Source organism: Homo sapiens, chromosome 16 (assembly GCF_000001405.40).
Source record: "Homo sapiens chromosome 16, GRCh38.p14 Primary Assembly".
NCBI lineage: Eukaryota > Metazoa > Chordata > Mammalia > Primates > Hominidae > Homo > Homo sapiens.
Genome location: NC_000016.10, coordinates 31469356 through 31482240, shown reverse-complemented (window position 1 = coordinate 31482240; position 12885 = coordinate 31469356). Strand labels below are relative to the sequence as shown.

General features: G+C 55.1%; 1 protein-coding gene across 4 annotated transcripts, besides 5 other annotated features; it reads right to left on the bottom strand.

The window, feature by feature from the left end:
- Window positions 4281-10089, bottom strand: TGFB1I1 (transforming growth factor beta 1 induced transcript 1). Of its 4 annotated transcripts, none has more exons than NM_001164719.1 (11): window positions 10018-10033; window positions 8685-8800; window positions 8507-8559; window positions 8264-8406; window positions 8002-8089; window positions 7786-7891; window positions 7484-7678; window positions 6056-6229; window positions 5679-5760; window positions 5231-5379; window positions 4281-4931 (listed from the first exon to the last, which is right to left on the bottom strand). In NM_001164719.1, the coding sequence occupies exons 2-11, from the start codon at window positions 8760-8762 to the stop codon at window positions 4665-4667; spliced, it is 1335 nt and encodes a 444-aa protein (NP_001158191.1). In that variant the 5' UTR covers window positions 8763-8800; window positions 10018-10033; the 3' UTR covers window positions 4281-4664. The 4 variants fall into 4 exon arrangements, with proteins under 4 accessions (NP_001158191.1, XP_024306180.1, NP_001035919.1 ...); XM_024450412.2 differs by lacking the exon at window positions 10018-10033 and adding an exon at window positions 9792-9838; NM_001042454.3 differs by lacking the exon at window positions 10018-10033 and adding an exon at window positions 10040-10089 and having other exon boundaries at window positions 4283-4931.
- Window positions 4498-5230: an enhancer, noted in NCBI's record as "H3K27ac-H3K4me1 hESC enhancer chr16:31488332-31489064 (GRCh37/hg19 assembly coordinates)". NCBI's record gives its function as "activates a minimal SCP1, AML or CMV promoter by ChIP-STARR-seq in naive H9 embryonic stem cells {active_cell/tissue: H9 hESC(naive)}" and the evidence as "EXISTENCE:reporter gene assay evidence [ECO:0000049][PMID:30033119]".
- Window positions 5115-5204: a silencer, noted in NCBI's record as "silent region_7420". NCBI's record gives its function as "represses an Ori minimal core promoter by ATAC-STARR-seq in GM12878 lymphoblastoid cells {active_cell/tissue: GM12878}" and the evidence as "EXISTENCE:reporter gene assay evidence [ECO:0000049][PMID:35858748]".
- Window positions 5231-5962: an enhancer, noted in NCBI's record as "H3K27ac-H3K4me1 hESC enhancer chr16:31487600-31488331 (GRCh37/hg19 assembly coordinates)". NCBI's record gives its function as "activates a minimal SCP1, AML or CMV promoter by ChIP-STARR-seq in naive H9 embryonic stem cells {active_cell/tissue: H9 hESC(naive)}" and the evidence as "EXISTENCE:reporter gene assay evidence [ECO:0000049][PMID:30033119]".
- Window positions 5963-6695: an enhancer, noted in NCBI's record as "H3K4me1 hESC enhancer chr16:31486867-31487599 (GRCh37/hg19 assembly coordinates)". NCBI's record gives its function as "activates a minimal SCP1, AML or CMV promoter by ChIP-STARR-seq in primed H9 embryonic stem cells {active_cell/tissue: H9 hESC(primed)}" and the evidence as "EXISTENCE:reporter gene assay evidence [ECO:0000049][PMID:30033119]".
- Window positions 9210-9750: an enhancer, noted in NCBI's record as "H3K4me1 hESC enhancer chr16:31483812-31484352 (GRCh37/hg19 assembly coordinates)". NCBI's record gives its function as "activates a minimal SCP1, AML or CMV promoter by ChIP-STARR-seq in primed H9 embryonic stem cells {active_cell/tissue: H9 hESC(primed)}" and the evidence as "EXISTENCE:reporter gene assay evidence [ECO:0000049][PMID:30033119]".
- Window positions 10090-12885: the final 2796 nt, after the last annotated feature.

The following is a 12885-nucleotide window of genomic DNA, read 5'->3' as shown; positions in this document are numbered from 1 at the left end:
AATAAATAAATAAAAATTAAAAAGAGCAGGACTGATCTGATTCATCCCTGGAGTCTCATTTCTCAGCACAGGACTGGATTCAAGAAGGGAGAGGCTGGTTAATATCTGTATGTCTACCTTTCTAGAAGAATTGACCAGACTTGGATGTCAGGAGACAGTCGAAGGAAAGTCCTGCCTGATTATGGCAGCGATGGTCATCCCGGAGATGGGGAACAGAGAAAAATGCTTTGAGTGTAATATGACAGAGTTTGGATGAAGGAGTTCCTTAGCTTGTATTCCTCTAAAAGGAGACCCTGAGATGAGAATTTGTGTGCAACGACTTTCCTGAGGAGGTGATTCCAGTATGGACTGTGATGGTGTAGGGAAGAGAAATGAAACAAGGAGAAAAACCAACAAAGCATGTGTTTCTTTGTTTTGAGACAGGGTCTTGCTGTGTCACCAAAGCTGGAGTACAGTGGTGTGATCACAGCTCACTGCAGCCTCGACCTCCTGGGCTCAAGGGATCCTCCCACCTCAGCTTCCCAAATAGCTGGAACTACGGGCACGCCACAACACTTGGCTAATTTTTGTATTTTTTATACAGATGGGGTTTCACTGTGTTGCCCAGGCTGGTCTCAAAATCCTGAGCCAAACTGCCTCAGCCTCCCGAAGTGCTGGGATTACAGGTGTGAGCCACCACGCCTGGCGTAAGGGTGTGTCATTTGTCAGGTTACCACAAAGAGCAGTTGGAGCCTCATCCCAAAAAGGACACTCTGAGACACTGTGAAGAACACCCCATAGCAATGTTCCTTGAGGGGCCAGGTGGTTGGGGTATCTATTCCCTGATTTGTGTCTGTCACTGGCTAAAAGCTGCAGAAATGTCCACACACTTCAGGCCTGCTGAGAACACGGAGCACACTCCCTCCTCCCAAGAACAGCCTCAGACAAGAAACTCCAGAAGGAGCTGCAAGTCAGGGTATCTGGAAACTGTCACAGTATATGACTTCCAAGGTGGGCCATGCAGGTATATGGGTGGGGCACCCACAGTGTCTGCTTCAGAGGGTGATGAGTTTAAAGTGCCTGAGAGAAATCCAGTGCCAAGTGTCAGAGGACACGTGTGTGTTACAGACATTTCAGATAAGGTCCCTTCACCACGGCCGTCAAAGGCCTTCATGATGTGACATCTCCTTCCTCTTTGGCCTCCCCATTGCTGGCTCCAGTCCAGCCACAGTGGCCTTCTTTCTTCCAAGGCATCAGACTCTCTCCTCCTCCCTGGCCTTTGCACCTGCTTCCTGTCTGCCGGGAATGCTCTCCTTGGCGCCTTGCACAGCTGGCTCCTTCTCCATGTTCGGCTCTCAGCTGAGACCTTACATTTTACTACCTGGTGAAAGTAATCTCTTCCCCACCTCCCCTAACTTAGTTCTCTATTTCATCCATTGTACTCTCTCTCTTTCCTTCCTTCCTGGTTCCTTCCTTCATTAACAAACACGTATGGAGACTGGCTATGTACTGGACCTGTTCTAGACACCAGGGAGAAAATGGTCAGCAAAACAAATGCACTGCCTGCTCTCGGGAGCTTCTGTTCCGGTTGCAGAATCAGACAGAAGCCAGAAACAATAAGGTCCAGGTGTGGTGGCTCATGCCTGTAATCCCAGCATTTTTGGAGGCTGAGGCAGGGGAATCACCTGAGGTCAGGAGTTCGAGACCAGCCTGGCCAACAAAGTGAAACCCCGTCTTTACTAAAGATATAAAAATTAGGGCTGGGTGCAGTGGCTCACGCCTGTAATCCCAGCACTTTGGGAGGCCAAGGCGGGTGAATCACCTGAGGTCAGGAGTTCGAGATCAGCCCGACCAACATGGAGAAACCCCGTCTCTACTAAAAATACAAAATTAGCCGGGTGTGGTGGTGCATGCCTCTAATCCCAGATACTCGGGAGGCTGAAGCAGGAGAATCTCTTGAACCCGGGAGGCAGAGGTTGCAGTGAGCTGAGATCACGCCATTGCACTCCAGCCTGGGCAACAAGAGCGAAACTCCATCTCAGAAAAAAAGTAGCCAGGAGTGGTGGCACAAGCCTGTAATCCCAGCTACTCAGGAGGCTGAGGCAAGAGAATCGCTTGAACCCAGAGGTTCAACCTCAGGAGGCAGAAGTTGCAGTGAGCCCAGATGGCACCACTGCACCCCAGCCTGGGCAACAGAGCGAAACTCTGTCTCAAAAAAACAAAAACAAAAACTCCTACTTGCAAGAGCACTGCATGCTAGGAAGGAACTAGGGAGGGGCCGTGGCACGGAAACCAGGGAAGCATTGGCTTTAGCTAGGCGGTCGGGAAGGTACCGCTCCTTCATCACGCATGTCACCTTTGTACTTGGCTGTCATCTGTCTCCGCTACTAGACTTCAGCTCCCTGAAAGCAAGGGTCATAGCTGCTTGGTTCCCCATTGTCTCCCCAGAGCCTGGCACAGGAGTGCTCAATAAATATTTGGTGAATGAATGAATGCCAATTTGGGCATCCTCAAGATAGGGAGGTGATTACAGGCTGGGGTTGGGGGTACATTCTTTGGGGAGAATATGTGGAAGGGGAAGAGCAGGAGACCTGGGAAGACCATGGGAGAGGAGCCTTAGAGAGGAAGAGATCTGGGGGCCTGGGAGAGGCTGGGGCCATGGACGCCTCACCTTTTCCTTGTGCCCATACATGCTCCCTGCGGCTTCTAGCTCTTCCTGATGAGCTGGAAAGGGCTCTGAGGACCTATCATTTCCAGCACCAGAGGTCCCTAGAGTCTAGACCCAGGGGACCACCCTGGGACTTAGGGACTCAGATGGAACCTGAACTTCTTCACACCTGAAACCCTTGGCTCCATCTTCCACACCTGAAAACCCCTGGCCCCATCCTTCTCTGCTAGGACTTGGCTCAGGTCTTGGGTGTCAGTTACTCCAGGATGCATCCCTTGACTCCCAGTCTGGGTTAAGAAGCCACCTTCTGGCTTCTACAGCCCCCAGTGCTTCCCTCAGTCACAACCTGGCCACACCAAGTGTCATCCTCTGTCCAGGTATCTGCCTCCTCAGCCTGGGGCTCTCCAGGGCAGTGAGCCTGACTCATCTCTGGACCCAGCACCACCCAGCACAGGGCTAGGCCGGGAGAAGCCTCAGGTGGTGGCAGACAGGCCAGCAGGGACAGTAAGTAATGGCTCTGAGTGCGCTGATTGTTCTGCCTTGACTGGGACACCTGGGGGTGGGAGTGAGAAAGGGTTAAGCTGAGGCCGTAACTACATGAAACATTCAGGTGATCCAAGATGTTGTGGGTCAATAGTAAGAGGGAAGCTGTACCTTAGTGCCCAGAACCAAAAGGTGAGCACAGCTGGCACTCTGAATAGAGCTCCATCCCTCAAGGCCCTTTAATAGGAGAAAAAATCTGGGAACCAAAGGCAGTGCAGGAGGGGAGCAGATTAAGTTCTTTCTCTCTCCTTCCTTCCTTCCTTCTTCCTTTCTCTTTCTTTCTTCCTTTCTTTTCTTTCTTTTTTTTTTTTTTTTTTTTTTTTTTGAGACGGAGTCTCGCTCTGTTGCCCAGGCTGGAGTGCAGTGGCGTGATCTCGGCTCACTGCAACCTCTGCCTCCCAAGTTCAATTGATTCTCCTGCCTCAGCCTCCAGAGAAGCTGGGATTACAAGCGTGTGCCACCATACCCAGCTAATTTTTGTATTTGTAGTAGAGACGGGGTTTCCCCATGTTGGCCAGGCTGGTCTCAAACTCCTGGCCTCAAGTGATTCACCCGCCCTGGCCTCCCACAGTGCCAGGATTACAGGCATGAACCACTGTAAGCGCTTATTTCAAGAATAAAGGGAAGGGCGGGCACAGTGGCTCACACCTGCAATCCCAGTACTTTGGGAGGCCAAGGCGGGAGGATCGCTCAAGACCAGGAGTTCGAGGTTGCAGTGAGCTATGGCACCACTGTACTCCAGCCTGGGCGACAAAGTGAGACCTCATCTCTTAGGACAAAACAAAACAAAACAAAATATAGAACTGAAGAAAGAGTAATGAGGGCGGGAATATTCGGTGGGGCCCCAGTTGGAGCTCTTGTCCTGGCTCTGCCACTATCTGTACAGTCCTGCGCGAGTCGCCACACTTTCCAGCCTCAGGCTCATCTGATACTTGAAGTAGGAAGTGCAGGAGTGGCTACCTGCAAGGGCTGAGGCTGCAGGTCCCGCTGCGGCCACAGGGCAGTGACCTAGAGACGGCCGGGGACAGAGCCAGCGCGGGGGTGGGGAGTCAGGGCCAAGCTCCTGCGCGCATTCAGAGACAGCACCAGGGAGAGGTGGAATGCGTGTGTTTATGTAGGTAGAAAAAGTGCACAGAACAGTGAGGGTGCAGGGAGCAAGGACGTCCTGGCCTGGCCTCCGATTCGCTGGAATTGCAAGGACCCTCCCCCAGTAAGGGGGCTCCCTCAAGGGTGGGAATAGAGTGGAGGCCCGCACGGGAGTTCTTGTCTGTGTGCAATCCACTTTGTGGGCGTGTGGGTTTAGGTCTGGCTGGGCCGTTTCTGAACTTGACCCCTGAGGACTCATAGTACCTTAGGGGCGGGGCTCTCCAGTGGGTGGGGCCTCCCGCTCTGAGAGCAAGGCCTCGGGGTCTGGAGGACCCGGCTTTTCCGGGAGGGCGCGGCCTCCGGGGGAGAGGGCGAGCCGAGCGGGCTGTCAGCCGAAGAGCTTCAGGAAGCAGGGCTGGCAGTAGGGCTTGCCGGCGCGCTCCTGGAAGGACCCCTTGGTGAGCGGGCGCAGGCAGAAGGTGCATGTGAAGTGGTCCGGGTGGAAGCGGCGACCCAGGGCCGACACGCAGCGGCCGGTCACAGGGAGGCCACACGTGGCGCACAGCGAGCCGCGTCGTGCGTGGAAGTGGTTCTCGCACAACGGGCGGCCCTCGTGCTCGAAAAAGCTGCCTCCCGAGAAGGGCGCGAAGCATTCCTGGGGAAGGGAAGCCGCGAAAGAGGACAGACAGGTCAGCGGCCACTGCCAGACAACGCGCGTTACTAGCGGATAACGCCCTGGGACCCCGCAGCCCGCCCTAGACGCGAAGAATCCCGTCCGGTGGGACCCTGCCCGGAAAACTCGCCCCACCCGAGGTTCCTAGCAGCACCTCCCGTGACCCGCCCCCCCGAGGGCCCGCCCCCTGCCCTGCACCCTTGACCCGCCCCTCCAAGGCCCCGCCCCACAGCCCTGTACCCTTGACCCGCCCCTCCAACGCCCCGCCCCGCAGCTCGCACCCTGCAGACGAAACAGTCCGGGTGCCAGAGCGCGCTGAGCGCCGAGATGTAGTTATCCAGGATGGGGCCCTGGCAGCCCTGGCAGCGCGGGGCGAACAGCTGCAGGAAGTCCCGGCGGCAGTAGGGGCGGCCCTCGCGCTCGTGGAAACCTAGGAGAGGGAACCGAGTGGGCTGAAAGCAAAGGGTGCGGGCGGGACGGGGGACCCACAAGACCTGAGATCTGGGGCCGAAGGAGGGGCAGTCCGAGGGAGCCTTGGGGAAGGAGGAGCCGGGTCTATGGCGGGACAGAGCGGGGAGGGCTCGGGTCCGGAGTCTGTGTAGGAGAGGGCAGGGCCAGAAGAGAGCAGAAGGAAAACCATGGCCCTGAGGACTCCGGAGGTCGGAGGGGCTGGGGCGAGACGTCGAGGGGACCCGCAGCTTTTAAGATGGGAGTCGAGTTCACTCTCACCCTCATCTCCGAAGGGCTCCCCGCAACTGACGCAGCAGAAATGCTCTGGGTGCCAGTGAGTGCCCAAGGCGGTCACCATCTTCTGCAGGGAGGGAGAGGGCACTCAGCGCGGCCTCCGTGCCTTCGCGCCTTCCTCTCCCGCGCGGAACCCGGGTGACTGGACTAAGGCATGCGTGGGGGGAGGGGGAGAAGATCTAACTAGGAACGTGGGGGTCAGAAAGGAAGAGTGGAGTCCAAGGGGCCGTGGACATTGCCAAGGGGAAGGGGTAGGGGTGGAGTGGGGTATCGCGGGTGGGGCGGGACCCATGCGGTGGAGGCCCGTCCCACAGCTCTCCTGGTGAGATAGGGCGGGCTCGGTGCGGCCGGGCGGGGCTCACGTGTCGGATGGGCTGGTTGCAGAAGCCACATCTTGGCGAGAAGCGCTCAAAGTAGCACTCGGGGCAGAAGGGGGCTCCATCCTTCTCGAAGAAGCTGCTGCCTCCCAGGGCGGTGGAACAGCCTCCGCAAACGAAGTGCTCGGGGTGCCAGGCGCGGCCCAGAGCCGTCACCACCTGCGAGTGGGAGGTGAGGCGGGTCAGAGCGGCTCTGACAACCACATGCCCAGTGAGGCAAGATTTACGCGGCGTTTTTCGAGTCCTCTCTGAGCGATCAGAATAAAGAATCCAGTGTTCGAGATCACGCAGCCTGTAAGCGATGGAGATCTAGCTCCCGTGTTCCGTCTTCCAGCTGCGCTCCAGGATTGACCTATACATGAGGCACAGCAGGCACAGCGCCTGGAGCCCACAATACATTTAGGGGCCCATAAAAACGTTTTAATTTTTTTAAAATCAAAATACGATCAGGCTGGGTGGCTCGTGCCTCTAATCCTAGCATTTGGGAGGCTGAGGTGGGAGGATTACTTGAGTCCAGGAGTTTGAGACCAGCCTGGGCAACATGGCGAAGCCCCATCTCTACAATAAATAAATAAAATTAGCTGGGCGAGGTGGCGGGCGCCTTTAGTCCCAGCTACTCGGGAGGCTGAGCTGGGAGGATCACTTGAGCCCAGAAGGTCGAGGCTGCAGTGAGCCACAATCGCACCACTGCACTCCAGCTTGGGTCACAAGAGTGAGAATTTGCCTCAAAATAAATAAGAGGGAGGAAGTGAAAAATCCGTTTTTAAAAATTCAGAATAAAAAAATGAACTAGAAGAAAATGCTGTAATACACAATAATAACATACCCATCTTTACACCAACACAGACATAAAAATCTATTTATTTTAATGGACGAAGGGACTCATGAAGATGAAAGTGCCTATGATCCACAAAAGTCACAATGCCACCCTCCTTTGCTGAGATGGGCAATTCTGGGCTGGGAGTCAGGTACTTGATCTAGCAGGGGGCACTAGGTTAACCCCTAGGCACAGCTGTTGTCAATCACATCTGCTCAGTCAATAAAACAAGGACCAGTGAACCCAGTCCAGACTCTGACGGAGGAAGAGAGAGCCTTTGTAGATGCCTGAGAGATATTGGGTGGAGCCACAGAGTGTTTTGTGAAGATCAGATGAGATGAGGGTTTGTAAAGGAGCTGGCACAGTGCCTGGCACACAGTAGGACCACAATAAATGGTAACATGGTTGGAATTTTCACCCTACCACTAACCTGCTGTGTGGTTCAGAGCTTCAGTTTCCTCATCCATAAAACATAAGTAATAATGATACCCACTTCCCAGATTAACTTACTAAAAGGGAACAGCATAAAGCCCAGCTCTCACTAAAGATGGGTCTGTGACAGGTCTCTGCCTCCCTTCTCACAAGGCTCCACTTACTTGCCCAGCAATAGGTTTATTGCAGGAGCCACAGAGGCCTTTGGCCTGGGTGGGAACACCCCGGCGGCTGAGGTCGGACTGCAGCAGCCCCAGCATGGTGTCTAGGCTGCCCTTGCCAGTCGGCTCTGGTGGGGATGGGGAGCCCTCATTTGTGGAGCTCACCACCGGTGGCTGAGTTGGCCCAGAGGCTGGAAGCTGCAGCGGGGAGGACATGAGAATTGAGTCAGCAAAGCAGCAGATGTGGAATTGTCTAGAAGGGGTTGGGGAGCCACAAATGGACACTGGCCCACTGCCCAACTCACATGGTTTTGAACGCGGAAGTCAGAGAGTGAGGCCATCAGTCTATCCAGCTCCAGAGTGGCTGAGGTGGCAGAAGCCTTTGGGAGGCCAGGAGACGGGCTGGAAGGGCTGTGAAGAACATGCTTGTGTCATCTCAGAGCCTCCCAGAGCAACGCTCCCTCTAGTGACTCAGATATCCAGGACTCATCTCTCAGCCCTGACAACGACGCCAAACTCACAGGCTGGGTCTTTTCTTATCTTCAGACTGGTCCTCCTTCTGCTCTCCTGAAGCCACCTTGCTAGATGGGAACTGAGACATGATTTCATCTGGAGAGAGGAGAGGAGGACGCTACATATAGGGCCATGCTCAACGCACCCTCACACTTGAGGCTTTAGGTCCCTTTAACTGCTACTCTGGGAAGTGTATTCCTCTTAGTCTCTGCCCCACCCTTCCCTCCCCTGCCCCTATCGCATCAAGGCCTCTCTCAGTCACCCTGGTACCTGTGATGTTGAACTGAGTGGCATTAAGTTCCTGAAGCAACCGATCTAGCTCACAGAGCCCGGTACCCAAGACACCGCTGGAAGAGGAGAATGGAGGGGCCGCCGGGGCTGCAGGCTTTGGGGACCGAGGCTTGCATACCGTGCTGGGAAGCAGAGTGGGAGCCTGGGTTCAGGGGTGGGGAATCCAAGCCTCCTCACCTGAGACTCAGTTGGCCCCCATGCCCTGGTTTCCAGGCCCCTCACCTGTACAGGTGGTCCTTGTCCCCCGAGGCTCCTGAAGACTCCCCAGACCCTGTCTACAGAGCGGAGACGCACAGGTGGGATGACAGGCCTGCACTCTGCCCCACTGAGGCTGAGATCCCCATAGACCAGGCCGAGCCTGGCCCTAGTGGCTGCCCCAGTCCCCAACATCCGATCTCACCTGTGGCTGGTGGCCATAGGATGGGGGAGGGGTGAGAGGCTCCGCAGGGCGCTCTTTGGGAGCCCCTGACCTTGGCATGTGCGAGGTGGTAGTCTCCAGGTCAGAGAGCAGGGCATCTGCAGGAAGAGGCCATCAGGGAGAGAGACAAGGGTCACGGTTAGATCAGAAGATAAGGTTCCCAGTGGGCAGTACTGGAGAAGGACAGAAGCCAGTATTAAGAGAAGAGGTCACAGGGCCAGAGCCAGGCAGAGCACTGCTCGAAGGGTAGCAAGGAATATTTATGACCAGAATATCCCAGTTGCTCACGCTTGGAGCCAAGCACAAACCCAGCCTCCTGATTATTTTATTCTCCCCATCTTCTCTGATGCAGTCAAAATGGGCTCTTCACCCAAGCCAAATTTGGCTCCCCTCCAAATTGCTCCATTGGCCCAGTGCCTGGCCCTCAGCTTTCTGATTGGACGCTCTCTCTTCCATGCTGGTTAACTCCTCCCTCTACCTACACAGGCCCCGCCCAGCCTGGCCACTCCCAGGCCCCTGAGTCCCGCCCTGGGCTCCTCACTGGCGCTTCGCTGGGACCTGCCTTCTGATTGGCTGTTTATCTGCGGTACAGCGTCAGTTACCCCTACCGAGCAGCGCCCTCTACCGCCAGGGGCCGGAAGCCCCTCTCTCCCGTGGAGCGCACAGCCTTCCAGCCCCAGGCTTCGCAGGGAGGACGAGATACCTGGGTCCCCCTTCCGGACAAGACACCTCTCTCCATCCCTGCATCCCCAGATCCGGGTCTTTTGAGCCCTTTCACTTCCAGAACCCAGAAGTCCTGCCCTCAGTCTTCGTCTCTGAGCACCCGCGTGAAACCCTGAAGCCTTCGCGGGCGCCTAGGCACTCCTGAGTTACTATTCTCTTCCTTGCCTCAAGGACCTGACCCTCACTGTGCTCAGGAGCCCTTAACTCCTCCTCTCCCAAAACTCTGGTGCAGGCAGGCCCGCTTTTTTTCTCCAAAACTTGATGCCAGACTTTCCCGTGCCCTCTACTTTCCCGGTCCCCGGGCCGAGGCCCCTTTAACCCCTCCCTCCCCAGAGCCCCGCGCCCGGGCGCCCGCGGGCGCCGCACCTCCCGTTCCATCTGCCGCAGCCTGGGATGGAGGAGCACAGCGAGGGAAGAAGGGAGGGAGCGGCCGGCCCAGGAAAGGCAGGAAGGGAGAGGCAGGAAGGGGGACGTGGAGTTGGAAAGGAGGCGCGGGCAGAGGCGAAAAGCAGAAGTAAGAAGACAGGGATGGGGAGATGCGGGAGAGCGACGGCGGGGAGGCAGCTCTGGGCAGCGGTGAGGGGCCACGGACCCGGGGATCCGGCCCCACTCACCCAGGTCCTCCATGGCGGGGCGCGGGCCGGTGGCGCGGGGCGAACAGGGCGGGGGCCGTGTCCGGTGGGGGCGGGGGGCGGGGGACGTCCGGGAGCTGGAAGCCCGGCCGTGACCATGTAAGGAAGCCGGGACCCGCTGAGATGGGGATGGGGGGGCGATGAACGGGGGAACCCGAGGTGGGGGCGTGGAAAGGAGGGAGCGCCCCGGCCCACCCGAGCCCAGCCCGCCGGCCTGCCGCGGAGGCGGCCACACCCCAGCCTTGGCCTCAGCTGCAGGGAGCCCCAGGAGGCCAGAGCCAGAGAGAAGTGGCTTCTCCAGACCAAGCCCCAGAGCCGCTCCCTAGGGAGACTTACAGACACGGACTGAGGCCCCCAAACAGACACCGCTCAAAGCTAGCGCCTGAGTCCTAGACAAGAGCCTCCCTCCCACCCATGCCATTCCTGGGAGACTTGTCCCAGACGGAATTTTTGGATTGGTAGCAGGAGTGATATTCTAAGGCTCAATTAGACCTCAGGTTCGGAGACCCTCCCATCGGAGACCCTGACAGATAAATAGAGGCCCCAAGAGGCATACATACCAGACACAAAGAAATCTGAGGGACGGGGACAGACACAGTGAACCCACCCACAGACTCTACACTAGGACCTTCCCTCCAAGACTTGGTCATGGACACACGTAAACTCGAACCCGGGCGCAAGCCCCTTGCAAATTCGGGGAAAACACTCCCAGGCAACCAACCCCCAGCCAGCCTGCAAGACAAAGCCCTTCCTCAGCACTGAGGTGGCCCAGGCCTGCTCTGAAACAGCCCTTTCCCAAGTTACTGATGAACTCAGAGCAGAAAGCAAGACACAGTCTCCAGCCACAAAGTGGCAAGGCCTTCCCTGGACTGAGACCCTGAGAAACGAGGTGGAAACGAGAGGCCATAGAGGTAGTTATGGACAGACAACTGTGCTGCAGCCACTCTTCTGGACAGATCTGAGCACTGGAATGTGAGTATCAACCCAGCAGCAAATCGGAACAACCTGGGGAGCTTTTTAAAAATGCGAGACAGGCATGGTGGCTCACACCTATAATCCTAGCACTTTGGGAGGTCAAGGCGGGCAGGTCACTTGAGGTCAGGAGTTCGAGACCAGCCTGGCCAACATGACAAAACCCCATCTCTACTAAAAACACAAAATTAGCTGTGCGTGGTGGTGGGAGCCTGTAATTCCAGCTACTTGGGAGGCTGAGACAGGAGAATTGCTTGAAACCTGGAGGCAGAGGCTGCAGTGAGCTGAGATTGTGCCACTGAACTCCTGAGCAACAGAGGAGACCCTGTGTCAAGAATAAAAAAGAAAAAGAAGAAAAAATGGGCAAACGACCTGAATAGACAGTTCAAAGAAGTTATATAAATAGCCAATGATTACATGAAAAGATCCTCAACATCATTAGTCCCCAGAGAAATGCAAATCAAAACTACAATGAGATGCCACATCATACCTATTAGGATGGCAATAACAAAAAAGACAGGTAATTAGGCAAGGAGCAGTGGCTCACACCTGTAATCCTAACACTTTGGAAGGCCGAGGTGGGTGGATCCCCTGAGGTCAGGAGTTCGAGACCAGCCTGGCTAACATGGTGAAAACAGTCTCTACTAAAAACACACAAAAAAATTAGCCAGACATGGTGGTGGGCACCTGTAGTCCCAGCTACTTGGGAGGCTGAGGCGGAAGAATCCCTTGAACCTGGCAGGTGGAGGCTGCAGTGAGCTGAGATCGTGCCACTGCACTCCAGCCTGAGCAACAGAGCGAGACTCCATCTCAAATAATAATGATAATATTTTAAAGGCCAGGCTCAGTGGTTCACGCCTGTAATCCCAACACTCTGGGAGGCCGAGGCGGGCGGATCACCTGAGGTCTGGAGTTGGAGACCAGCCTGGTTAACTTGGCAAAACCCCGTCTCTACTAAAAATACAAAAATTAGCTGGGTGTGGTGGCAGGCACCTGTAATCCCAGCTACTCGGGAGGCTGAGGCAGGAGAATCACTTGAACTCGGGAGGCAGAGGTTGCAGTGAGCAGAGATTGTGCCACTGCACTCCAGCCTGGTGACAGAGTGAGATTCCGACTCAAAAAAAAAAAAAAAAAAAGCTGAAAAGAAAGAGGTAATTAGCAAGTTTTTGTGAGGATATGGAGAGATTGGAACCCTCACACATGGCTGGTTGGAATGTAAAATCGTTCACTAACTTTGGAAAATGGTCTGGCAGTTCCTCACATGTTTAAACATAGAGTTATATGATCCAGCAATTTCCCTTCTAGATATGTAACCAAGAGAAATAAAAGCATATTCCACAAAAAAACTTGTACATGAGTATTCATAGCAGCATTATTCATAATAGCCCGAGTGGAAACAACCCAAATGTCCGTCAACTGATGATTGAAGAAATGAAAGTGGCATATCCATGTCTTAGTCTGTTTTGTGCTGCATCGTAGAATGCCTAAGGCTGGATAATTTATAAAGAATAGAAATATCTTTCTTTCAGTTCTAGAGGTTGGGAAGTCGAAGGTCAAGGGCCCTGCATCTGGTGAGGGCCTTCTTTCTGCCTCATCCCACAGCAGAAAGCAGAAGGGCAAGACAGTGCAAGAGAGGGGGTGGGGTGGGGGCAGAACCCATCCATTTATCTATCAGCTGTCCACTCCCTTGATAACTAACCTACTCATGCAATAATGCCATTAATCCATTCATGAGGGAAGAGCCCACATAACCTAATCACTTCTTAAAGTTCCCACCTCTCAACAGTTGAATTGGGGGTTAAGTTTCCAACACATGAACTCTGGGGTACATGTTCAAACCACAGCAATCCATAAAG

Coding starts and splice junctions, on each gene's coding strand:
- TGFB1I1 (NM_001042454.3), bottom strand. Junction 8,090..8,263: donor CACTCAGTTCAACATCACAG/GTACCAGGGTGA, acceptor TCCTCTCTCCAG/ATGAAATCATGTCTCAGTTC. Junction 5,761..6,055: donor GCAACCAGCCCATCCGACAC/GTGAGCCCCGCC, acceptor CCCTCCCTGCAG/AAGATGGTGACCGCCTTGGG.